The sequence below is a fragment of the Homo sapiens genome, chromosome 9, assembly GCF_000001405.40.
Source record: "Homo sapiens chromosome 9, GRCh38.p14 Primary Assembly".
In the NCBI taxonomy this organism is placed as follows: Eukaryota; Metazoa; Chordata; class Mammalia; order Primates; family Hominidae; genus Homo; species Homo sapiens.
In genome coordinates, this window is record NC_000009.12 from 28,601,678 (window position 1) to 28,629,218 (window position 27,541).

At 34.1% G+C, this 27,541-nt stretch overlaps 1 protein-coding gene and 1 long non-coding RNA gene across 15 annotated transcripts in view; one reads left to right on the forward strand and one right to left on the reverse strand.

The window, feature by feature from the left end:
• LINGO2 (leucine rich repeat and Ig domain containing 2) overlaps positions 1–27,541 on the reverse strand; it is a 1,275,985-nt gene that overhangs the window by 664,061 nt on the left and 584,383 nt on the right. The window lies entirely within an intron of this gene.
• Positions 18,384–27,541, forward strand: part of LOC105376003 (uncharacterized) — a 36,942-nt gene continuing 27,784 nt past the window's right edge. The window contains exons 1-2 of the long non-coding RNA XR_929533.4: positions 18,384–18,572; positions 19,734–19,837. This is a non-coding gene — a long non-coding RNA (uncharacterized LOC105376003). The remainder of the gene's footprint in view (positions 18,573–19,733; positions 19,838–27,541) is intronic.

Below are 27,541 nucleotides of genomic sequence, written 5' to 3' on the forward strand. Positions count from 1 at the left end.
ATTTGGAAGTCATTTCTCAGAAAAATTCTGAAAGATAAAACTCCTGCTGAGAAAGAAGTACCTACAAAAATCCCCTCAAGTCCTCACTCATAGCTGCATATTCTAACTTTATGCAAAAGCTACCAAGTTTGCTTTACCTGTCTGCAGCAGGTCAGAACTAGCAAAATGAAAAAATCTAGAATGTGTTATATAAAGCTAGTGAAAAAAGGCAGATTGAGAGTACCAAAATAACAGCTGGAAGTGTGAGAAGAGAAAAATAAGTAACAAAACTCAGGCTGAAGAACTTCAAAGGTATAACATTTTTCTCAGGTTGCATTCTCAAGAAACAGATTCTAAAGTACGGATTTGACTAATTTATCAAAGAAGTGCTCCCTGGAGAAATGAGCAAGGGAGTGGGGAGGCACAACAAGGAGGCTAAGAAACCAAGCAAAGTTGTGATTTTTAGGTAAAATTCCAGCCTAGGCTTACCCTGATTGAAATTGTGTAGAATATATTGCATCTCAGAGTTTGTCTTAAGGCAAGGAATATGGGCTGTTTTGTGTTCCTTTATTAGTCATTCATTGGCTTGGGGCCATGGGGAGGTTGGTGCAGGGGAATATACCCCATGTTGCAGGAGTCTGGCAAATAGAAACAAACAAACAAACAAACAAAATAAAAGTTAACTAAAAACAAAAACATAAATTGATTTGGCCAATAATACATTTGGCTATTAATGACAAGGACCATGAGTGGATAGAGACCCAGTTATCAAAAGCCTAATACATTTTCAGATACTAAATGATATGTTTTACTTAAATTTCTGATACATCAAGTTGCAGGTACATAATTTTTTTCTAATAGCTTATGCATACATCAAAGTGAGTGATTATTCTTAAAACCGCCTATGCATTTAAAATGTGTCAATATGTTGATGTTATATTTTTCCAGAGAAAAGAAATATAGTAAAGACATACTTATAAATGCTTTAGTTTATGTATTTTTTTATTCTAAGAAGCTATTCAGAGAAATAAAAGTCTTCCTTTTCTAACATATTTGTTAGTATTTTCAGAAAAATCCATATTTAGATTTCTGAAGGCAATGCTGTATCTCCATACAGAAGGCTGAATGACAATTTAAAAACAAGCCCTAATCCCTAGTGACTGTACATCTGTGTCACAAAACAATCGCATAATCTGGCATGATTAAAAGGTTTGCTGTTCAGAGCTCAACAGCTGAAAGCCAAATATGGCAAAGTATGATCTAGTTTTCTGCTTCATAAATGCAAATAAAGACTGGCACATAGAGTATAGAAAGCAGTTGTTCTTATACAATTTAGGTCCAGCACACTTTTGGATAAAGAAGATGTCCAATAGAAAACAAATCCTTTGAAAACAAAGCTAGACACTCAAGTTTTCTGGCTTACACTATTGAGCCAAAGTTTCTGCTTTTACAAGTATGTGTTTAAAATGAAAATACAGGATGACATGTGTTTTGATAATCTGTAGAAGGACTTTAAACACCCTGATCCTCTACAGCAAGTTCACAATAAAAGTCTGTACAGAATTAGGAAAACCAATGACTTGTATTTTAAATAATCATTCAGTAATAATGTAGACATTTTCCTGCTTGTAGATACTATGCAGAAAGTATTGTTATCTTTGTCTGTCTAGTACTGAGCCATAATCCCTGGTACACAGTAGGCACTCAATAAATATTTTTGATTGAATGGATGACTATAGACTGAATGGATCAAGAAATAGACAAACATGAATTAATTTTCAAAAAAAAGTTGGGAATCATAGTGGTTTCTGAACTGATGTCTGCAGAATATTCTAAATTGTAGCCACATTAATGTAAATAACCCACCAGACCAAGGAGGAAATATATATTAGCATGTCAATATTTTTAAAAGATACAATTTATATTGCCATATTTGTGAGGCACCTGATTATAAATCTTGCATTCTCTTCCAGAGCTGTCTCCTTTGGGAAAAATGAAAGAGGAAATCACATTAAGAATAAAATTGTCATCACAAGATTCATTTTATTAACCCAGTATTTCCTTACTTGCTGCAAATATGCTGGCGATTTTGGATCAGACAATCCAGGACAGTGTTATTTGAATTTATTCTTTGGCATAGTTCCTAGTGTTTTTGATGTAACCCAGCAATATCTCCAACAGCAAAGCTGCAGAATTCTGCTGTCCATTTTTATTGAAGTATTGAATGTAATTGAGACTCGTCTGCTTAGACTCACCCATGTATACTAGGGCTTTGGTTTTGATAAACATTGTTTCTTCTGTTTTCTCTACTTCAGTGTTTTACTCTTTTAATCTTCTTTTTCTTGAATTTTAGCCTTCGAGTTTTTCTTCCGCAGATTTTCATTTCTGAATATTAAACCATGCAAATTCTCTATGGCCTTTTACAGTATGACTTTCTATATATGCCTTAATTCCAGGTGGCAGGACAGACCATTTAACAATGTGCTACCCAAACTCACTGTGGTGATACGCAAACTCACTGTAGTTTGTGCAAAGTCCTACAGTTCAAAATGCATACCCAGGCACTACAGTGTTAGGCAATAGTAAAAAACTAAATGCCCCAAAAGAAGGCATGTAAAGATAGAAAGTGCCCACATAATCCTCAAATTCAAAAACACCTTATAAATTAACTGTGTCCAAAGACTTTGGTTTTTATGACTTAGGGAAGCCTAATCTTTGCTCATATGAGCCCTTGTTCAATTTGGATTGTCTTTTAGAAAGACGAGTCTACTGAAGCAGGGCAAAATGTCACTTTATTTTAAATTAAGATTAGAAACAATGACATTTAATTATCATAATCATGTGTTTTTCAGTAGATAATTATAAAAGACACCACGGTTTAACATTTAGCTTGTTTCCAAAAGAGGAAAAAGGGTGGGAAGTATTTTTATTTAACAATGAGAGTATTTAGAGGCAAATGATTTTATCTGAAATTTACTATTGTTAACTGTTGTACTGTTTGCTGTAAATTAATCTGAAGTAAGTATCCATAGAAAAATGTCTCTTTGAAATAAGCATTTCTAAAATCCTTGAATATATCTAGTTTGGCAAGTATGTAATTATATAACACACATGTCATATTTACAATTGAAATGGGGCAAAATTGTACATATAGAGAGACCTAATATGTGAGAATGAGGAAAGGTATTAACTTTTTAGTAGTATCAGATGCCACTTGAGCACTTTCTACATGTGCAAGACACTGTGCTAAGTACTCTTGCAAACATGCAGGTAAGCACTATTTTTATTTGCATTTTATATACCAGAGAATTGATACATGGATATGCTAAATAAGGAGTGGAATTAGGGATTCAGACTGAGGAATAGCTAAATCTGAAGCCAAGTTCTTAGCCACTAAACTTGTACTCTACAGTATGATTACTATTCATACGTAGTTATTGAGAAATAGAAATGTGTCTAGTTTAAATTTAGAAAAACTATAAATATAAAATGCACAATGTTTTTCATTAGTATTAGAAAATAAATACCTCAATAATTTTATATTGATCACATGTTGAGATATTTGGCCTACAACAGTTGAAATAAAATATATTATTTAAATTAATTTTATCTGTTTCTTTTTTCTTTTCATTGTGGTTACTAGAAATTTTAAATCACATATGGGGTTCTCATCTGTTGTTTCACTTTATTTCTACTGGACCGTATTTCACTACACTGTATAGCCTCCATCTCTGACAAGTTAGGGGAGAGACTCTGAAATGTTAATTCCCTGCTTAGTTTGTCTTTTCCTCTTATTTATTTCTTGTTTCTCTCTCATGACAGACTTTATTTTCTTCATTTTAATGTAACTATTTATATAAATATTGTATATCTCTCACTAAAATGTAAGTTCCTGGAAGTCAGGCCTCCGAGTTCTCATCTTGTAACACCAAGTAACAAGGGAAGGCTTTTAAGGCAAATAACAATCTCAAGCGTTTTAGCCTAAGTTAAGCTTCTTCTTCTTCCTCACAAGCTGTCTTCTCATTACACAGAATGGAGTCAGGAATGTCTCCATCAGGACTGCTCAGGGGTGTGCAAACTGCAGCTTGTGGCCAAATCCAACCTAGCACCTGCTTTTATAAATAAAGTTTTATGGAAACACAGCCACATCCACTCATTTAGTACTGTCTATAGGCTAGCTGGGATACAATAGCAGAGCTCCATAGTTGCTACAAAGTCCTATGGTCGTCAAATCCGAAATATTCACCACCTGGCCCTTTAGGGAAAATCTTTGCCATTTCTCAGGTAGCTTATGCTATCAGAGTCGATTCTTTCTTTTTGCGCCTTCCATCTCAAGTATCAATTACACTATAGTGACATTAGAATCTCATGAAATAACAAACATTTTTCACATTGTGTTTCAAGGATGCTTACATTTTAATAACCACTTGTAGAATAAAAACCCAGGATCCCTTTGTGACTATTTCTCTCAGTTAAAATAGTGGGTCTGAGAAGATGTTTTGATATGTCTGCTACCGTGACAACATAAATAGGGACCATCTTTTAAAGTTTATTGCCATCTGAGGCCCCTTGATTTCAGGATTTCAAGACTTACAATGGGCACATCTAAAACAGCTACTATAATACTTTTAATGTCAGAAAAGTCACTGTGAAAATAAAGAAATAAAAGATGTCTACCTGCTGGTGAGTGAGCTCTTTAAATGACTTTACTGGAGAATAAATGACTTTACTGGAGACTCTACTGGAGAATAAATGACTTTACTGGAGAGACTTTACTGGTGAGGAAAGTAATATAGATATAATACCACTATTCCTGTGACCTATCAATACAAGCTATTTTACACTTTTTAACTATGCCAAGTGGGTCATTTAAGGATAATACAGACTGAGGGAAATTCTCATTTTGTTTGAAGGAATTTGTTTGTCTTGATACAATCAATTGACCTTAACTTTCCTAGATGTGGAAAATGAGGTAAAATTTGTTACTCTTAAACAAGATATATTGTTCAGCAAGACTAGAATGAAAGGATACCAAAACATTTACTCTTTACTGATGCTTCCACAACTAGCTATTGTCAACATTTCCAATATCATCCTTACAGTGAAAACCACTATGACAAGTACTGTGCATGCAATTATGTAAAATTGAATCATAAAACGAGTTAGTGGAATAGGAGGATTATATAAATGTTCAAATATTTTTATCAAATTGTACAATTAACTAGTTTGTTCTGACAAGTGTTCTTACAAAAAACAAAATATTAATTGGCATATTTCATATAAACATATTTACATTTCATTTATTAGGAGCCCCTTATTTGTTCCAGTGAATAATTAGAATACATTTACAGCAAATCAATTGAAACATTCAGTAACGTCTTTAAAATATCCGAAGGAAATGTGGGAAATACCTGTCTTGGTATTCTGAGATTGCAAGGAACTGTCTTATAAAACAATGCTTCTCAAAGAGGACTAAGTACACAATGATCCATTGGTGACCAGAAAGAAAAACACTAAACCTTGATTTAAAAAGCAAGTCAATTATTAAACCTTAGTAATGTTGAAAGATTGATTGATACTGACACCTTCATTGAGTCCTAAAAGTCACTGATCAAAAGAAGTCACCATGAAGAAAAAAGGGAATTGTACAATGTGGAGGTTTTGACAGTGGCATTCTCATTCATATATTGGTTTTATCATGTTGGAATATACAGGAGTTTATATTTTTTCCTATTCATATTTTTTCCTACTCACAGAAGCTAGAATGTATTTCACAAATGCTAAAAATAGAACTCACACTAACTTGAGCAAAATAGTAGACATCATTTGCTTACTAATGAAGAAATTTAAGCCTGAAACTGCCTTGACTCCAAAGTATGCCATAGAACTTTCACTCTGTTTCTACATTTTCAGGTCTAGCTTGTCAGTTGCTCTTATTCTCTCATGCTATAGATAAGAGTTTCTTCACGTGATCAGAAAGATGACCACCAGCCAGCCTGCCTTTCACCTTACAGCTAACCAATTCTAAAGAAAAAGAGACCAAAAATTCCCCATCTTTCATGTGTCAAATCTGATTGAAATACCCTTACTAATCCTAGTTGGTCATGGGTCAATTCCTTATAGCAATCACTATGGGTGGGTAGAGGGGTGGAACAATGTGATGGGCCAACTTATGTATCAAGTAACCAAATCAGAACCACAGAGTAGGAGAAGAACCATTCCTCAAAGAAAGTGGAGTTCCAGAAACAACAAACAACTGGTGCTGCCTAGAAATCTTAGAAGATATGAAAATAAAATATCCCAGTTGCATTACAGCATGCATGTTAAGAAATCATAATGTAAAACAAATTAATGGTTTGCATATGTTTCCAATTTATGATCTAATCTGGACACTCATCAAATTAGAAATATTGCAGTAGGGATTTCCATATACCAACTGCTGAAGTAATACTGTTTTCACAGATTACACTTTTTAATTACATTCTGTAGAAAGATAAAAAAAAAAAAACTTAGTACTATCTTTCTTATATTCTCATTCTATGGATTGATTGGGGATATTCTAACACTTTCCCTAAAATTATTTTTAAGATACTTTATTTTAGAACACACTGACATGGTAAGGCTCTTTATAATAATGAATCTTTTATTAAAAATAAATTTCTTTTCTGGAATGGACATTATTTTTCAAAAAAAAAGAATGAAGAGTTTGAACTTAAGATTGAATGCATTCTACACAATCTCTACAGTCTCTTCCAATTCTTAACACTTCTCTTTCTAAAACTGTTTTCTAAAATATTTCATTACATAAACCCCCTGGAAGGCCTTCTTTGCATGCATTCATACCGGTTATTATGTGCATAAATAGCAGAAGGTTCTGCTTTTTAAAACAGAAAAATGGAGAACTAGGTTTGTTGAAGTTTAATAGCTGTTTTTGGTCCGCGCAAATTTTCAATATCTTGGTGAGCTGCTTCTTAGATTAAAAGATCTAGTATTATTGTAGGGTAGGTCTTTTCCAAAATGAAACATCATTTGTTCTACATTCCTTAAGCTAAAACTAACTGTATCATTTTAGCTAGAGAGAAGCATGCTTCACAGGTAACTTTTCCTTCGAACCATGGATGTAGTTCAGATTTCGTTTATATTATTCCTTGCTTTTTACAAGTGTAAAAAGCTATGAAAACTTAGATGGTTACTTAGCATATTCATTTTATAGTTTGTGTTATTTAATTGAGTTCATTTGTACATTCCTGTCTTTTAAAAAGTGGGAGATATATATTTTGCTCTTCACTTTGGTTTTTGGGTGGATTTTGATAAAACATTTGGGGCAGAAAAATGTTCTTGAAATAGTTACATAGCTTCAAGGCTATTTCAAAATTCAATACAATCAGATATGTCCATATACCTAAAACATTATTTTTACTTTTGTGAAATCTAGAACATATGCATCAGCCATCTAAAGACAATATTTGAAAATCCAGTATGGATTAATGAGCTAAAGAGTTTTTTTTTTTTTTTTACAAAACTATAAAAATATTCGAGGAAAGTAAAACAATGTTTATTTTAGAATCTTTGGTTAGGTATGTCCTTTCTAGCAAGGATGCAAAATATATCATTATAAAATATCGAAACAGTTCATAATAATATGGTGGGTGAAAACACACTTCAAACAATGTTCTAACATATGTGATAGCTGGAGAAAATTTTCAGCTCAGCAATAAGTCAAATCATATATAAACGGTTCATATGAATCAATAATAAAAAGCAAACTTCCCCAAGACTTCTAGTTGAAAAAAAGTATATAGGTAAGCAATTCATGAAAGCAAAAATACAAATAACCAATAAACATTAGAAAAGTTATTGAATCTTCTTTTAAATCAGAAAAAAATAACAAAATGCAATGCTATCTTCACATAAGATTAAATAATAAAATATAGATATACACAATGCAGAGATCAGATAATGTCTTACTTCATTTTGAGATAAGATAATGAACAATCTCATACATTGATTACAGGAATGTAACTTAGAAAAGTCTTTGAAGCACAATTTTGTCTGTCACAATGTCAGGTGCACATTCTTTCAACCAATTATTTGTCATAGATAGTTATCTTAAAATTTTTGCACATATGAGTGTTTCTTATGGCGTACCTTAAATTAGCGAACACAAAACCCTAGGAAAATTCTAAAAGTCCTTCAATATGAAAATGACTAAATAAAGCAAAATATGTCTGCATAAAATACGTGGCACCTATGAGAAGATTGCTTTATATCCATCTACTTGTCATTGAAAGACATATTATCATGTATTGTTAAATGAAAATAGCAAAATGCAGAATAACATATTATTTTTATAATGCCCTTTAAATAGATCTGGAAGGACACATACCCAACTGTTAATAGTGGTTACCCCATTGGAAGGTAGAGACAGAGGCAGAGAAAAAAACTTCTGTTTATATGACATGATTCTCCAATAGTTTGAATTTTTTTAAAACAAACCTGTTTTACTTTTGAAATAAAAGACTATTTTTGAAGTATTTAAAATCAAAATACATTTATTGCTAATTATTTTTACCTACACTTTTAAAATATGAATAGACAAGAGTAAATGAAGGCAGGAAAATTGTTTTTATCAGATTAGTAATATCAATGCAAGAGCAAGTTTTTCTGTGTTTTGAAAACTGAAAAAGCAATTTATTTCACTTCCTCCAATTATCATGGGCACATATTTCTATGGTCTGAATGTGTCTATGAAAATACCTATGTTGAAACGTAATCCCCAATGTACTAATATTAGGAGGTGGCAGTGTTTGGGAGGTGATGAAGTCACGAGGATAGGGCCCTGAAAGGAATTAATTACCTTATGAAAGGGCTAGAAAAAACTAGGTATGCCCTTCTGCCCCTCTGTTCCTTCCACTACCTGTGAACACAGCATTCAAGGTTTCATCGTGAAAGCAGAGACCAGGATTTCAACAGACACTGAAACTGCCAGTTCCTTGATCTTAAGACTTCCCATCCTCCAGAACTGTGAGAAATTAATTTCTATCATTTATAAATAAACCAGGCTCAGATATTTTGGTAAAACAGAACAAAAAAGCTAAGTCATATATAGAATGGTAGCAAATGGGCAGAAGGTGTAACACTCTTTGGGTGAACTCTAAAATGGGTTAGTCAAGTAATCACTTTCTCCACATCTTTAGTAACTTTTAACCTTTTTTGTATGGCAGATCTCTAACATTTTATTTTTTCCTTTGAAATCTAAATTGTATTCTAATAATAAAAAACAATATTAAGAAAAACATGCCATTATCCTTAATTACCAAAAGTCAGATGCAGTAAATATTTGGGGAAAAATGTGCCAACAAAACTATTTTAGGCAGCTGCTATTCTGACTACTGCAGAGCTTCCTGACATAACAGTAGTAAACTCACACACCATCAGATGTGATCAAAGGTGTTTTTGAAGAGAGGTTCTATTCCTTTTGTCTTCAAATACATTACCAGATGAAGGTCAAAATATCTTTAAAGGGGAAAATACTTTTTCCAGCTTTATTGAGGTATAATTGACAAATTGTATACAATTAACAAAATGTATATATTTAGGATATATGATGTGATGTTTTGATATAGGTATACCCTGTGAAATCACTACCATAATCAAGCTAATTAACATCCATCATCTCACAATGTTAACATTTGTGTGTGTGTGTGTGTGTGTGAGATGTGAGAGCATTAAATGTGAGAGAGAGCATCTACTCTCTCAGCATATTTCAAGCATACAATATAGTATTAGTAACTACAGGCACCATGCTGCACATCAGATCTCCAGAACTTACTCATCCTGCCTAACTGAAACTTCTTTACCTTTTGAGAAATATCTCTCTAATTTTCACACCCGATCCCCATCCCATGGCAAATACCATTCTACTTTCTGCTTCTACAAACTCATCTTTTTTAGATTTCATATATAAGTAGAATCATGTAGTTTGTTCTTTCTATTCCTGGATTCCTTCATTTAGCATAATGTCTTCCTGAGTCATTCATGTTGTTACATACAACAGGATTTCTTTCTTCATAAATAGTATTTCATTGCATATGTGTGTGTGTCTGTGTCTGCATATGAATGCCACATTTTCTTTTTTATTTATGTATTTATTTTATTTTATTTATTTATTTATTTTTTTTTGAGACAGAGTCACGCTCTGTCGCCCAGGCTGGAGTGCAGTGGCGCGATCTCAGCTCACTGCAAGCTCCGCCTCCCGGGTTCACACCATTCTCCTGCCCCAGCCTCCTGAGTAGCTGGGACTACAGGTGCCAGCCACCATGCCTGGCTAATTTTTTGTATTCTTAGTAGAGACAGGGTTCCTCGGCCTCCCAAAGTGCTGGGATTACAGGTGTGAGCCACCACGCCTGGGCTTCTTTTTTATTTTTAAGGCGGGGTCTCTATTGCCTGTGAAAAAGTGCAATGGGGCAATCATAGCTCACTGTAGCTTCCACCTCCCAGGTTTGAGCCATCCTTCTGCCTGTGCCTTCAGAGTAGCTGAGACTACAGGCTTGTGTTACCAAGTCCAGCTAATTTTTTTGTTTTTCAGTAGAGATGAGTTCTTGCTATATTGTGTAGGCTGGTCTCCAATCCCTGAGCTCAAGTGATCGTCCCACCTCAGCATCCCAAAATGCTGGGAATATAGGCATCCGCCAGTGGCCCACATTTTCTTTATCCATTCATCTACTGACAAACATTAATGTTGATTCTATATCTGGACAATCAACACCAACACATGAAATCAGCTGGGAGGGGGGCTATGTCCTGGAAAGCCACAGGGGTTGAGCTGCCCAAGGCTGTGGGAGTGAGACATGGAGTCAAAGGTTATCATTTCAGAGCTTTATGATTTGACCATCCCTCTGGATGTCAGTCTTGCATGGGGCTTGTAGACCCTTTGTTTTAGCCAGCTTCTACCATTTGGAATGGGTGTATTTATGCAATGCCTTTATTCCCATTGTATCTAGCAAATACCGGACTTGCTTTTGATTTTACAGGCTTGTAAGTAGAAGGCACTTGCTTTGTCTCAGATGAGACTTTGGACTTGGACTTTTGGGCTAAGGATGGAATGAGTTAAGACTTTAGGAGACTGTTGAGAAAGCATGATTTGTTTTGAAATGTGAAAGGGACATAAGATTTTGGGGGAGCCAGGGGGTGAAATGATATGGTTAGGCTTTGTATCCCCATGCAAATCTCATTTTGAATTTTAATTCCCATAATCCCCAAGTGTCAAGGGAGAGACCAGGTGGAGATAATGGAATCATGGGGTGGTTTCCCCTATGCTGTTCTCATGATAGTGAGTGAGTTCTCATGAGATCTGTTGATTTTATAAGTGTTTGGTAGTTCCTCCGGTGTTCATTCTCCTTCCTGTCATCTTGTGAATAAGGTATCTTGCTTCTCCTTCGCTCTCTGCTATGATGATAAGTTTCCTGAGACTCCGCAGCCACGGTGAACTGTGAGTCAATTAAACTTCTTTTCTTTATAAATTACACAGTCTTGGGCAATGCTTTATAGCAGTTTGAAAATGGACTAATACAGATACTTTTGTGGGGAAGCATTCTTGTGATAAATATGTATCATATATAATGTATATTGATGTATTAGTATACATAAATACGTATCACAAATGACTATACATATGTATTTTCTAAATGTATCTACACAAATAGTAGAATATGTGTATATACGTATGTGTGTGTGTGTGTATATAGCTACAGATAGGTACATATACTACATATATATATTTGCCTATATATACCCATATGATATATATATATTTATCTACTATGAAAACACACACACACACACATATATTTACCTACCTATATGTAGACATACTGATATGTAGAAATGTCAGGAGATTGTATTTTAATATAAATATGTCACCTCTGCCGTACTAGAATGTGTAAAGTTGAGCCCATTGTTGGTGGGATAGGGAGGTTACAGAAAGGACTACTGGTGGGAAGGTAGTGGGAATATACTCACACAAGGGGGTAAGGCATAAAGTAGTATAAGAACTAACTTCATAATACTGCCAAAGACTGATTCTGTTTGTCAGTCAGAATAGGATGTAAAAGACTATTTCAAAGAGTTAAATTATTTGTTAATATCAGAGATCAGCCACAGACAAGAAGTTTATGGATGAGTGCAGCAGTGGTCCATTGGACATGTTAAATACTTATGGATATCCACAATTTGAATTGACATTAAAAATGAATGGATACCCAACTTTGAATTCCATATCGTTTTTCATATCAAAAATATTATTTTAACTATTTAAACATTTTAAAATTATTCTCAGCTCATGGGCCATTCTAAAAGAGGCAAAGGGCTATAATTTGACTTATGCCATATGGTTTACTGATGCCTGGACTAGATCATTTATAATAAATGAAAATGCCTCTCTTGATCATTATTTCAAATTTGGTCAAAGAAACTGCATGATATCTTAAGTCTGTATGTCTTTGGTAGTTACTATATTCTTTAAAAAGTATCAGAACACATTTTCTTTTTGAATGGACACAAGTACAAGAGCATCAATAATGAAATCATTTTTTATTATAGAATACAGATATTAAAGCCAGACCTATGTGTTTCCTAGCTGAATAAAAATAGTGTGCTATGTATATATAAATCAATAGGCTTTTCATTAGTGAAAATAACGAAAAATAACAAAGCTAAATCATTATGAATTTCTTAAATGTATAAAGTCCATTTCAAAAGAATTTTCTAATAAAGAAAGAACATAAACAAAGTGTAGGTAAGTTTCTTTCACATTAATCTAGCATCCCTCTTCTCAATATTTGCCTCAGAGGATGTCATAGGTAAATAAAAACCATATGAATATCCATGAAATAAGTTGATAGTGTGAGAGATAACTTCTAAAACTAACTGTATAGGCTTTAAAGAGGCAGCTAGATTTCATTTGGAAGGCAGGCAGAGAAATATATCGGTGAAATTTAGGTCATAACTTCCAATGTTAATTAATTTGCACCTCAAGCCTACTAGACCAGTGGAATTAGGATATGATAGAAATATGCAGGATGTATTAAGGTTTTGGCCAATGGGAATGACCTGCTTCTCATATTATAACCTTAGCCTAGTTAATTTACTGGGAACAAGTTTTAATGTTACAGTCAGGGTTTTAACTCCTCAGGTGTCAACCCTACATTCAGCTGAAAGAATAGTATACACAAAAGAAATAGGTTAATTTGTTTACTGTGCTAGAGGATGCAGAGGCTTCTATTAGCCTCCAACCTTACAGGCTTCTCACACAGTTCATTTAATATTGAATAAATATAACTTTAAGTTATAGTCATCAAAACTATACATTTCATCTTCTTTGTATGGAAAATATAAAATTAAGGGAGGACATTTTAAATTTTCTGTACCCTACATGGGAGAACTAATTTGCCTGCTCATGGAAGACAAAAAGAAAATTTAATGTCACTTCTGCCATACGAGAATGTGTATGTTGAGAAGGAATCAGGGATGCTCATCCCTAGAATATCTTGGTCATTGATTTGTCCACTTCTTAGAGGGCCCATGGATAATTCAATGATATGTACACTCTAAATATTCACTTAATATGTTCAAGGTAATTTAAACGCTGCATTTCACATTTATGAGAAAACAGGATATAAACGCCTACGCAAGTCCAATAAACAGATCTCAGATTTAACCTCGAAGAATGCTCAGTATAGCAGAAAAAGGGCTGCAATATAAGCTCCATGAGGGCAGTGATGCTGCCTTAATGAATATTTTATTCCCAGTGGCCTGCACATTCCCTGACACAAAGTAGACACACAATAAATATTTTCAGAAGAAATGTTAAATCATTGAATCCGTAATATACAAAATTATTATAAATAATTAACAACATACTATATAACAATAGCAAAACAAAGGTAAAGTACATTAACAGATGATTTATAAAATACATATGAATGGCAAATAAATAAAAAGTAGAAATAAACCAATATATGCCATTGCATTTTGTCCACTGGATTGGTATCTTTATAGCATTGACAATTTCCCAGTGTTGGTGAGGTAATTAAAAAGCTATCATTCTTGGGACAGTTTGGGGGCATATAAATTTTTAAAACCATTGTGTACAGCATTTTAATCAATGGCTTAAGATGAAAATAGAAATCTATTATGTCATTAAACAGCATTGATGGATCTTGTAAACAGGAGAGTAAAAAAAGCAGGCAGAAAAGAATATATACTGTATGACTCCATGTAAATTTAAAAAACTGGAGAAACTAAGCTATTCTAAGTTGTCAGGAGTCAAAATAGTAATTATATTTAGGGAGGAAAGATTATTGATTGGGAGGCAGAGTGAGTGAGGCTAGTAATGTTCCATTGATCTGGATGTGATTATTAATACATGGTATGTTCAATTTGTGAAAGTTCATCAAGCTGTACATTAATGATTTGTGTACTTTTCCAGGTATATGCTATACCGTAATGAAAAGTTTATTTTTAAAATGCTTATAAATATTTTTGTTCAGCTGGTCAAAATACAGCGTGAACAAAATTATAGTCGTATAGTTACCAAAATATACTCTTTCTAGTAAGTCAACAATAAGCAAAGGAAAGATTTTATACTTGTATATGCATGCATGCACATACACACATGTGAAATATTTTCTGAATAGATTCCCACTTAATGTCAGTCCGTTTGGCTTTGAGCTATATAGCTGACCCACATCAGCTGCTTTCAAACAGATTGAAGTGATGTGTCTGAAGGTGACAAAAGATGGTTGAGGTCATCCTTTTACAAAGGCCCTTAAGTAATCAGCCACCAGAACTGCCATAATGCATTATTAAAATTGCAAGGCATCTCTGCAAGTTTGAGCCATGTGTATGAGGGCACACAGAAATGAAGTCTCCTTGCTCATAAACATCCTTTGCACATATAGAAATGTATTTCCCTGCCCTGATTATTGCCCTTTAATGAAAACAGACAGAACTGGAAAAAAATGCACTGTTTTTAGCTGTGTGGACACTGTGCAATCATTTGGACTGGGCAGTGCAACAGTCGGTTATCTAGGCCAGAAACAAAGAATGAAATTAAGAATCAATCTCTACTTACATGAAAGATTTTTTCCAATGTAGTGTGATGCTTGGAGTTTTGTTAACTGTATGGGTTCTGAACTTCTGTTTTAAAGTTTCCCCTTTCAAAAGCACATCCAAAAGACTCTTTCATCACAACTATAAACAGAAACTAGGCCAGTACTGGCATACATATATGTTTGTTTGTTTTTTTTCTTTCTAAAATTGTGACAATTTTTCACTTAAGAGGTATTTTCCTTTCTTTATTTTATGGCAACAAAGTATTTATAAACCTCCTATTTTCTGTTTTAGTAGTAAATTAGCCTTGGCATGAATATGAAGTAAAAAATAAGTCCTATTAATTATGAAAAATGGAGTTATAGGATTTAGCTAATAACATATTAAAACCATCTTTTCACACCTTTCCTAAAGACAAAAATAAGACTAATTAGTTTCATGATTATAGCATTAAAAGACTCTATCTATCTGTCTTTCTACTTTTCTCCTCTTTCCGGCTAGTTTAATCTAAAGAATATTTCTTTCTTTTCTTTTCTTTTTTTTTTCGAGACAGAGTCTCGCTCTGTCGCCCAGGCTGGAGTGCAGTGGCGCGATCTCGGATCACTGCAACTTCCGCCTCCCAGGTTCACGCCATTCTCCTGCCTCAGCCTCCCCAGTAGCTGGGACTACAGGCGCCCACCACCACTCCTGGCTAATTTTTTGTATTTTTAGTAGAGACGGGGTTTCACCGTGTTAGTCAGGATGGTCTCGATCTCCTGACCTCGTGATCCGCCCTCCTCGGCCTCCCAAAGTGCTGGGATTACAGGCGTGAGCCACCGCGCCCAGACAATAACATTTCTAATTTATTATTCCTGAAGTCATTTATAACCCAGAGACTACTTACATATGTTCTCACCAATGAAATTACTCCCTTTATTTTCACACTGAAAGGACAAATTCATCCCTGTTTTCATCTTTACTTTTTTTTTATTTTCATAATTACAACCTTACGTAAAACTTTGATTAGAATGAAAAATGTAATTTTAATAGGACACCTGTATTTCATATTAACTAAGGCTGGGCAAGACTAAAATTCTACTTATGTCTTTCCCCTTTACACACTTTCAATTGCTTTTTGGATAATGTTCTTTACTAGTGAAAAAAGATACATGGTATAAATATACTCATTTATGAAGATTTCTCTAGTGATGATGTGAAGATATCACTGAAGTTGAAGCTTTTCCCAGATAAAATAGGATGACCATTGAGTTAATGAAGTTTTAAGAGCTGAGAACCTTCAACTAGGAACTGGATATTAGCAGCAACGCAGGAGCTCAAGAGCTCAGGTTTTGATTATGAGATAAAACTGGTCTTAAATTCTAGAGCAACCATTTGAGTAATCTTGGGCAAATTAGTGATTTCCAAATTCACAAGGCTAAAACAGAACTCTTGCTCCCCCAACCCCAACCTGGTCTTCCTTTATTCTTCCCCATGTCAATTAGAGGCGGCATCACCACATATTCAGTGATCACGCCAAAAATCTAAGCTATTTTTTATTTTATTTTTCTCTTTTACTCACTACACATTCAATCATTAGCATCTCCGAGTGTGTTTCTCTCTCTCTCCTTTTCTTTCTACCATTGCTATCCACACACAAACCACCATCATATAATGCTTGAATTATTTCAAGAACTTCCTAATTTTCCTCCATACAATTCATTCAACAAACAGCATCCAGAGTGTTATTTTTTAATATAAATTGTCATTTACTCCCCTGCTTATAACTCTCTAGTGATTCTTCATCATAAATTAAACATTTAAATCCCTCCACCAGGCTCACAATGACCTGTATGATCTTGCCCTACTTATATATTCAGTTTCTTTCTATAACATTCTCCTTCTTACCCATTATGATCTAGCTCCTTTAGTTCTATCTGTAATGTTCATCCTTTTTGTCCTTCAGACTTCATCTTAAATGTTACCTTGATCTCACCAGTCTAAAGGAGACACCAAGTTACTAAAATAATATAAACTTGTATTATTGCTTTTTGTTTTATTTACTTCTATACTTTCTGTATCTGGCACATAAAATGTGTTCCTTAAATATTTGCTGAATGAATGAATGAACTTAAAGGAAAAAAAATTTGTTACTGTAATGCAGATAATTCTACCTACCTGTCAGGCTTGGACTAGAAGATAAATGAGGCAAGATAAGTTGAGTGTTTAGCACAGTACCTGGGGCAAAATAAGACTTCGTAAATGATTGCCACTTGTGTTTTTGTTAAAACAGGGACTACAATAAGGTCTTACAAAGGACTTCTTATTGAGTAATAATATCTCTCCTAAGTGTAAGATTCTAAGGACTTTTTTCCAGTGGAAATTATTAAAATATAGGGGTTTTATATGGGCTAGTGAATGAATTATTGAATGAATGATGTTCAGCATTTTAAGCTAACCTGAATCATACTATTGCTGATGTATGTAACACACCTTTATTCCTTATTTCTTTACCATCCTGAGATTCTAAAGACTACCATATTTAACTTTCCTATGTATCAGAAGAAACCTGAAAATTATAAACTAGAAGGATTCGACAAAACAAAGAAGCAGTTTGGGATTTAAAGAGATCTAGGAATACGTTATTTCTACCACTTGCTGATGAGCTTCAGATAACCACCTATATATGCTGAGCCTCAATTTTCTTACGCCACTTCTTTACAGACTTATTGGAAACGATGAATAAGATACTGAATGTAATTAATTTAGCACAATGATTTAGCAGGTGACTGATATTCAATTAATAGTACATTTTCTCCAAGTGTGTCACTGAGAAATAGATCTAAAAAAAGCTCAGGAATTCTGTTCTTGTGTTAATATGTGAGCTTAGGCTGATTTCAATGTTGTTTAGGCTTTCTTGTATTTCTTTACCCTGTTCTTGGAGGTGCCAGTGTGGCCATGCTGCCTACTAGGTTTTCTTCTCATATACTCAGTTTCACTGGTGCTATGTGCAACTACACTATTTTTGTAAGTGGTAGTAATTTCTTTGAAACACAAAGCCAAAATTAATAAGTAGTGACAGCTTATAGGGGTGAAGTAATCATTTTTAAAAAGGTCTTGGCAGTTGGTTTCTTGAATAAGAAATGCACTTGTTTCCATAAATTGGCAACAAAAACTGAAACACAGAATGCTGCCCAGAATCTTGAGAAATTTGTACTTGAATTATTGTTATGGTCCATTAAACTCACTCTAAAAACTTTAATATGTTTCTGCTTCAGAGACTTGTTTGTCCATGTACAGCCATGTAACCACACTATTTACAATGCCCAAAGAGCAAATTGTTTGATTCAGCTGCAGCAATGGTCTTTCCACAGAGAAAGTTTGCAGTTTTCAACAGCCCTAAGTGCTGCATTCTCCTAACTGAGGTAAATACTCTGCATTGTTTTCTTCCCAGGTGATTCAAGCTGCAAGATAGATGACTAGGACTCAAATACCGGAAAAGAGAGGTAAGTAAACTGTGTTATTTGTCTAAGTTTTAGACAAAGTGTGTTCATCAGAAGCAGAGTTAAAGTAAGAGTTTGAACAATAGTTTTAAAAAGTATTCAGTTTTCCCAGCTAGCACTGTTCAGCATGTGATTTCATTATCCTCTTTGCCCCATTCAGTTTGAAACATTTTTATACTTCAGATCATTTGTAACAGATCATCACTCAGATCTAATACATAAGACACAGGAATTTATATTGAAAATAATGTGTGCAACAATACTTAGTTCCTAAAGAGGACCTAAGGAAGCAGTCACAGTTTGTCATATACATCAGTGACCTTTCAAGGCCGGGACCTCAGTTTGCTAGATGGGCTATTATTGGACAGAGAGAGCCAAGACAGAAATGATAATATATATGACCAGTTCTAGGCAATTCTTAGTTAAAAATATAAGAGGATGGGACTGGAGGCCATTATCCTTAGCAAACTAACAGATGAACAGAAAACCAAACACCACATGTTCTCTGTTATAAGTGGGAGCTAAATGATGAGAACACATAGATACACAAAGAAGAACAACACACACTAGGACCTTTCGGAGGGTGGAGGGTGGGAAGAGGGAGAGGATCAGGAAAAACAACTAATGGTTACGAGGCTTAATACCTAGGTGATGAAATAATCTGTACAACAAACCCCCATGACACAAGTTTACCTGTGTAACAAGCCTGCACTTGTACCTCTGAACTTAAAATCAAAGTTATAAAAACCAGTGGAAGGTAAAGTGCAAGAAATGTCTAAAAATTTATTTGGATATATGTGTCAAAAACTTTGAAAGAGTTCAAACATTACATCTGTTTAGTACTTCCATTATTAGGAGTTTATTCTAAAGAAAGCTGCAGAAAATACGACAATGCTCAAAACAAACATCCTACATAAAAACAATTTTAAACTATATAACATAAAAATGTATATATGTACATAGATAGGAATAACAATATATAATGTGTTAATGATGATTACCACTAACTATAAAATTATGAGTGGTTTAATTATCTTAGTCAAATTTTGAGGTATAATTAAGTAAGTCATATTTTCAATGAATTTGACATATAGAGTCATACCATAACAAGATACAGGTCATTTCTGTCTTTCCAAAATGTTTTCTCCTACCCCTTTGCAACAGCTCCACAGAACTTTTTCTCCAAGTGTGTCACCGAGAAATAGTCCTGAAAGCAGAATACCCCAACTGGCACAAGAGAACCACTGATTTGCTTCCTGTCACCACAGGTTAGTTTTACATTTTCTAGAATTGTATATAAATAGAATATACTCATATATATGGATTATTTTATTCCAAATGTTCCTGAGATATATAAATGTCATTGGTTTTTTGGCATGGTGTCTTTTAACTCAGCAAGTTTCTGAGATTTATCAGTGTTTTTGCACATATTAATAAAGGCATACTATGAAGATACTATGTATTCTGTTCCAGACCACCTTAATAAAGCAAATATTGCAATAAAGTAACAGGAATTTTTTTGTTTCCCAGTGCATATGAAAGTTATGTTTACACTATAATATTGTATATATATTAAGTGTGTCACAGCATTCTGTCTAAAAATGTATATACCTTTATTAAAAATACTTTATTGCTAAAAAATGCTAATGATCACCTGACACTGAGACACAAAACAAGCATGAGCACACACTGCTGAAAAAATGTGCCAAGACTTGCTCCATGCAAGCGTTACCACAAACCTAGTTATTCCGTTACTAGGAATTTATTCTTTTTTAATTTTTAATTTTTGTCGGTACTTACTAGGTGCATATATGTATGGGGTACATGAGGTACTTTGATACAGGCATGAAATGCATAATAATCATAGCAAATGAGGTATCCATCCTCTCAACTGTGTTACAAACAACCCAGTTATATTATTTTAGTTATTTTAAAATCTACAATTAAACTATTATTGACTATAGTTACCCAGTTGTGCTATCAGATACTAGGTCTTATTCATCCTTTCAAACTAATTTTTGAACCTATTAACCATCCCAACTTCCTCCTAATCCCCCAATACCCTCCCCAGCCTCTGGTAACCATCCTTCTACTCTCTCTGTCCATTTACTTGTTTTTATTTTTTATTTTAATTTTAATTAATATTAAAATTGTTTGTTTTATTTTTTTGGTTCCCAAAAATAAGTGAGAACTTACAATGTTTGTCTTTCTGTGTCTGGCTTATTTCACTTAACATAATGATCTCCAGTTCCATGTATGTTGTTGCAAAAGACTGGATCTCATTATTTATTTGTAACTGAATAGTGCTCCATTGTGCATATGTACCACATTTTCTTTATCCATTCATCTGTTGATGGACACTTAGGTTGCTTCCAAATCTTAGCTATTGTAAACAGTGCTGCAACAAACACAGGAGTGCAGACATCTCTTAGATATACAGATTTCCTTTCTTTTGGGATTGCTGGATCATATGGCAGCTCTATTTTTTTTTTTTTTTAGTTTTTTGAGGAAGCTCCAAACTATTCTCCATAGTGGTTGTACTAATTTACATTTCCACCACCAGTATACAAATGTTTCCTTTTCTCCACATCCTCATCAGCATTGATTATTGCCTGTCATTTGTATATATGCCATTTTAACTGGGGTGAGATGATATCTCATTGCAGTATTGATTTGTATTTCTCTGATGATAGATGATGTCAAGCACCTTATTATAGGTCTGCTTGCCATTTGTATGTCTTATTTTGAGAAATGTCTATTCAAATCTTTTGCCCATTTTTAAATTAGATTATTAGATTTTTTTCCTACAGAGTTGTTTTTGCTCCTTGTATATTCTGGTTATTAATCCCTTTTCAGATGCGTAGTTTGCAAATATTTTATCCCACTCTGTGGGCTGTCTCTTCACTTTGTTGATTGATTCCTTTTTTGTGAAGAAGCTTTTTAACTTGATGTGATCCCATTTGTCCATTTTTGCTTTTGTTGTTTGTGCTTGTGGGGTATTACTGAAGAAATTTTTGCCCAGACCAATGTCCTGTAGAGTTTCCCCAAAGTTTTCATGTAATACTTTCATGATTTGAGAACTAAAATATAAGGTTTTAATCCATTTTGATTTGATTTTTGTATATGGAGAGAGATAAGGTTCTAATTTCATTCTTCTGCATATGGATATCCAGTTTTCCAATCATCATTTATTGAAGAGACTGTCTTTTCCCCAGTGTATGTTCTTGGCACCTTTGTCAAATACGAGTTCACTTTAGGTGTGTGAATTTTCTTCTTGGGGGTTCTCTATTCTGTTCTATTGGTCTAAGTGTCTGTTTCTATGTCAGTACCATGCTGTTTTGGTTAGTATAGCTCTGTAGTGTAATTTAAAGTTAGGTATTGTAATTCCTCCCGTTTTGTTCTTTTTGCTTAGGATAGCTTTGGCTATTCTGGGTCTTTTGTGCTTCCATATAAATTTCAGGATTTTTTTTTCTATTTCTTTGAAGAATGTCATTGGTATTTTGATAGGAATTGCATTGAATGTATAGATTGCTTTGAGAAATATGGACATTTTAACAACATTCATTCTTCCAATCTATGAACGTGGAAAATCATTCCATTTTTTGTATCCTCTTCAATTTCTTTCATCAGTGTTTTATAGTTTTCATTGTAAAAATCTTTCACTTCTTTGATTAATTTCTAGGTCTTTAATTTTATGTATGGGGATTACTTATTAAATTTCTTTTTCACATTGTTCATTGTTGGCAAATAGAAATGCTACTGCTTTGTAGGTTGATTTGTATCTTGCAACTTTCCTGAATTTGTTTTCCAGTTCTAATATTTTTTGTTAGAGTCTTTAGATTTTTCTAAATATAAGCTCATATTATCTACAAACAAGGATAATTTGACTTCTCCCTTTCCAATTTGAATGTCCTTTATTTCTTTCTCTTGCCTGATTGATCTAGCTAGGAATTCTAGTATTATGTTGAAAAACAGTAGTGAAATGGGTATCCTTGTTGTATTTCTGATCTTAGAGGAAAAGCTTTTAGTTTTTACCCATTCAGTATGATACTAGCTGTGCATCTGTCATGTACAGCTTTTTTTTATATTGGGGTGTGTTTTTTCTATATCTAGTTTTGGGCGGATTTTATCAAGAAGAAATGTTGAATTTTATCAAATGAGTGTTCAGCATTAATTGATCATATGCTTTTTGTCCTTCATTCTGTTTATATGATAGTCCATATTGATTGATTTGCGTATGTTAAGACATCCTTGCATACCTTGAGTAAATCCCACTTGGTCATGGTAAATGATCTTTTTAAAAGTATTGTTGAATTTGGTTTGCTTAGTATTTTATCGAGGATTTTTTCATTGATATTCATCAGAGATATTAGCCTGTAGTTTTCTTTTTTTTTAATGTGTCTTTTCCTGTTTTTGGTATCAGGGTAGTATTGGCCTTGTAGAATGAGTTTTAGAAGTATTCTCTCCACCTCTACTTTTTTTTGAAATAGTTTGAGTAGGATTGGTATTAGTCTAGAAATGTCATCTGGGAACTAGGGCCTAGAATGGGGTCCTTATGGCTTGTCTGGTGCCCTTACTCTACTGTGGCTGAGCTGATATCCAGTGTAAGACAAAGCATTCTTTACTGTTCACTCTCCTCTCCTCAAGCAGAAGGAAGGAGTTACTTTTGTTGCTGCCAGCTGCATTGCCTGGGGTTAAGGGAGAGGTTGGACAAGCACTCCTTTATCCACCCCAGCTGGTGTCTCCCTAGATCACATGCCATCCTAGTCCCCTGGCTCGAAGACCAGCCCAGCACTAGAAGTTGCCTAGGAATTTCAGACCTTGTGTTCTAGACTTCCTTTCAAGTGTATCTAGGACCCCAGAGCCCTTTAGCTTGTGGTGGTGAGGCTTGCCAAAGCTCAAGTTCTGACCATTGAGATAGGTTATTCCCTCTTGGTTAGGGCTGGTCCAAATGCTCCTTCTGTAGATGAGTGCCAGCCAAACCCAGCATAGCTTTACTTTCTGCGTGACAGGATAGCACTGAGTTCAATGCCAAGTCCCTAAGTCACTGTGTTCTCCCTCTCCCAAGTGCACAGATTCTCTCTCCAAGCCATGTGGCCACTGCCAGGAGATGGGGGAGAGGTGACATAGGCAGTTCAAGACTGTCTTTGCTACACTCTTCAATGTCTCTTTCAGTGATGTGGCATTAAACCAGTTACTATGATTGCTCACCTGATTTTTGGTTGCTATGATGGTACTTTTTTGTGTGTACATAGTTCTTAAATTTTGGTGTTCCTGCAGGGGGAATTATTGGTTGAGGCTTCTGTTTGGCCATCTTGCTCCACATCTCTATGAGTATGTTCTCTAAATGAAATTTAATTTATATAAAAAAGTAATATTTGTAAAGCACAGTAAAATGAGGTATGCCCATTTTTTTCCTTTTTATTGTTAAGTAGTATTTCATTATGGTTATACTAAAATTTGTTCATTTATTTATTCCTGAACATTTGGGTTGTTTCCAGTTTTTGAAAATTATAAAGAAAGATATTAATGTAGTTATTCTAGTCTCTCTTAGTCACTGTTTGCATCGTATAGCTTTCTCTAACATTTAGCTTTTGAACTTTGTGTTTTTTCATTTGAAAGATATAATTTAATCTTAAAAAATATATATCTACACAAGTATTTGTGAAGACATACACTTTGAGTTTTCTTGGGTAAATACCGAATAGGAAAATTATTTACAAGTGTGTATGTTTGACTTTACTAAAACAAAACAAAACAAAACAAAAAAAACTACAAATTGTCTTCAAAGTGGTGGCAACATTTGAGAATTCCGCTTGCTTCACAAATGCCAAAATTTGTATTCTCATTCTTTTAAATTGTAACCATTTTAGTTGTTGCACAGTTTTATCTCACTGTCTTTAACTCTCACTGCCCTGATGACTAATATGTTGAGTACCTTTTCATGTGCTTGTTAGCCATTATCACTTTTTGTATGAAATGAATATCCAAATATTTTACACATTTTCTTAAATTGGGCTATTTGTCTTCATATTGTTGAGTTGTAAATGTCCTTTATATATTCTGGAGATAAGTATTGTAATTTTTTCCAATTTGGGGTTTGCATTTTCATTTCATTAATAAAGTATTCTTTAAGGAAAAAAATGTTTACTTTTAATAAAGTCCAATGTGTCAATATGTTTCCTTCATGATTTGTGCTTTGAAAACTGTCTAAAATATCTTTGTCCACTCCCCACTCATAAAGATTTTTCTCTTATATCCACTTTAATTTTTGTTAGTAGTACAAATTAAAGTTTGAGGTTCATTCTTTTATACAGATACCTAGTTTAAGCATCATTTGTTCAAAAACTTTCCTTCTTAATGAAACATTTTGGCACCTTTGTCAATAATCAATGACTATTTCTGTATGGGTGTCATGCCAACACCACACTATCTTTTCAACGTTTTTTCTCTCTCTGTTCTCCAATTTAGATAGTTCCTAGTGGCATTTATTCAGCTTCACTGATTGTTTTTTTCTACATTGTTTTCTCTGATCTATATCCCACCTAGTAAATGTTTTTTTCAGCTCTAAAAATTCTATTGTGTGTGTGTGTGTGTGTCTTCCATTATCTCTTCATTATTTTCATGCTTTGAAAAAAATATTGAGCATGTTTATAGTAGCCATTTTACAGCCTTTGTTTGCTAATCTAATAATATCTGTCATTTCTGAATCTTTTTTATTAGCTGATGCATTTCTCCTGGGCTACATCACATTTTCCTGCTTTTTTTATTTCTAGTAATTTTTTTTAACGGTTGTTTTTGAGTTTGTGTATTTTTTTAAGTACTGAACTTTGTTCTGATAGGCAATTAATAAATTTTGGATAAATTTTATCTTTTCAAGGCTGACGTAGGTGTAGCCCTTACTCTAGGGATTGTTTAGCTCTGATGCAAAGATGAAACATTTCTGTACTTTCTACAAGATGTTCCAGGTATTTATGAAGGTCTCTCTATTCTGATTGGACAGAGATATAATACGTTTTAATGTTGAGCAGACTCAGTGATTATGTACCTTACAGCTCTCCAATAGACCTCCAATAGACAAATAATATTGTATAGAATTCTCCATAGTTTACTTTCTGGCAACAAAGTCCAGGGACCCCTATGTAGATTTTGGGAGTTCTTTCCTTACTTACCATCTGCTCTGCAAATTCTACCTGACTTACCTTCCTATGCTTCAATGTCTGTTTTCTCAACTGATCTCCTAATGGTCCCCTTTTCTGCACTAAAATATGGAAAATGCCTCCAGACAGAAAGCCAAGATCACTATAGGTCTCATCTTATTTCCATTCTCTTCTAAATCACCATCTTGTGTTGCTTATTGTTTAATGTCAGAAATCAAATGTGTCATATATTTTGACAAGTTTTCTGGCTGTTTAAGGTAGGGAAAACAAGTCTAGTTTCAGTTACACAAACTGAGAGTTCTTAATTATATTTTATATAAGTCTCTTTTTTCAAAATTGTCTATAATGTGCATAAAAATAATTGTGTAATTAAAAATATGCACATAATAATCCATTGGTCATTCTGCATCTTTTCCCAAAGTAAAGATGATAGTACAAGCTAATGAGATAAAATACCAAGCATTTTATTTTCCCTGTTGTTATTAGGCATTAGAAATTTTGACCTTGGAGAGCTATATTTTAAATTTTTATATAACTATGGCAGAAAGAAAAAAGTTTTTACCTATGCTTACTTGTGTGGTCAAAATCATTATTGTCTGCTCTCTGTTTCTATCTCAATAATACCATTCTTCATGGCTGTAGCATAGTTTTTATTTGTGGAGTTATGAAAAATGCAGGCTGGTCACCCAAGCAGAAAAAAGAACGTTGTCTTCAAAGCCAAATCCCCAGTGTACAGAAGAATCATCTCAAAACCATGCAGCAGATTTCAGTACAATTCACAGCTACTGACATTTTATGGACCAGGAAGATCCAAGCTTAACTAGCATAGAAAAAGTAATACATTTCCTTCCTTTTGTAGAAAGCTGCATATAATATATCTTTGAAGACAGGGTTAAGATTATCACCATGTTCTTCTATGGATAAATACAGGAGTTCAGTTTCTGAGGCTGTGTCAGAGTTTGCAGACAATAAATTCACATAACAGTAAAACAAATGCTACTTGCAGAGAAAAAACATTGGCAGTTTGTATTTCAGTTCTGTGCACTATGCCGGGTGCGTATAGTGTGCTGATTTACAGAGAAGGTTCCTCAGTACTTTATACTTTGCAAACTCATATTTCCTGTCCTATAGTGTAACTGATTTTCCAAGGCTTTTATTTTGGGGGCAAGAGGGAGATAGGAATTCAAAACACCTGTATTTGTTTGATGTGTGAGTGGTATTTAATGACAGAATGATAACAAATGGATGTGTCAGGGATTGATGTTACCCACTTTATCCCCTTGGTACCTAGTCTCTTGATTTCTGCTTTCATAAACTAAGCACAATGTTTTATTTCTGTACAATAAAGTTTGTCTCAATAAAATTATTTCCTTCAATTAGCTTCCTCAGCAATGATGAGCCTCCGGTAATGTAATGATTTTGTACTAATAGCTGAAAGTGTGTTATCAGCTAATGCCTCTTTTCATAAGTGCTAGTGTGTAATACTTAACCAGCTCCTAAGATTAGTGGATGAATCTCTGGAGATACCCAGAGCCCAAGTAGTTTACCATTCGTAAAAGCATAGGTCCATTATCTTATTTTATACAATGAGTAGCATTTATGCATTTATTGAACATTTATTATGTGGTGGGCATTACATTAATGTTTTATGTGTACTCTGTCTTACTTCCACAAGAACCATCCAAGTAGGCATGAAACTGAACTAGTATGAGACCATGAGAAGCTTCAGGGTTGGAGTATGGGTGGCAATGCTAATGTCAAGAAACAGGAAACCAAGCTGATACAGGAGCAGATGGGTGATGTGCCGCTCCT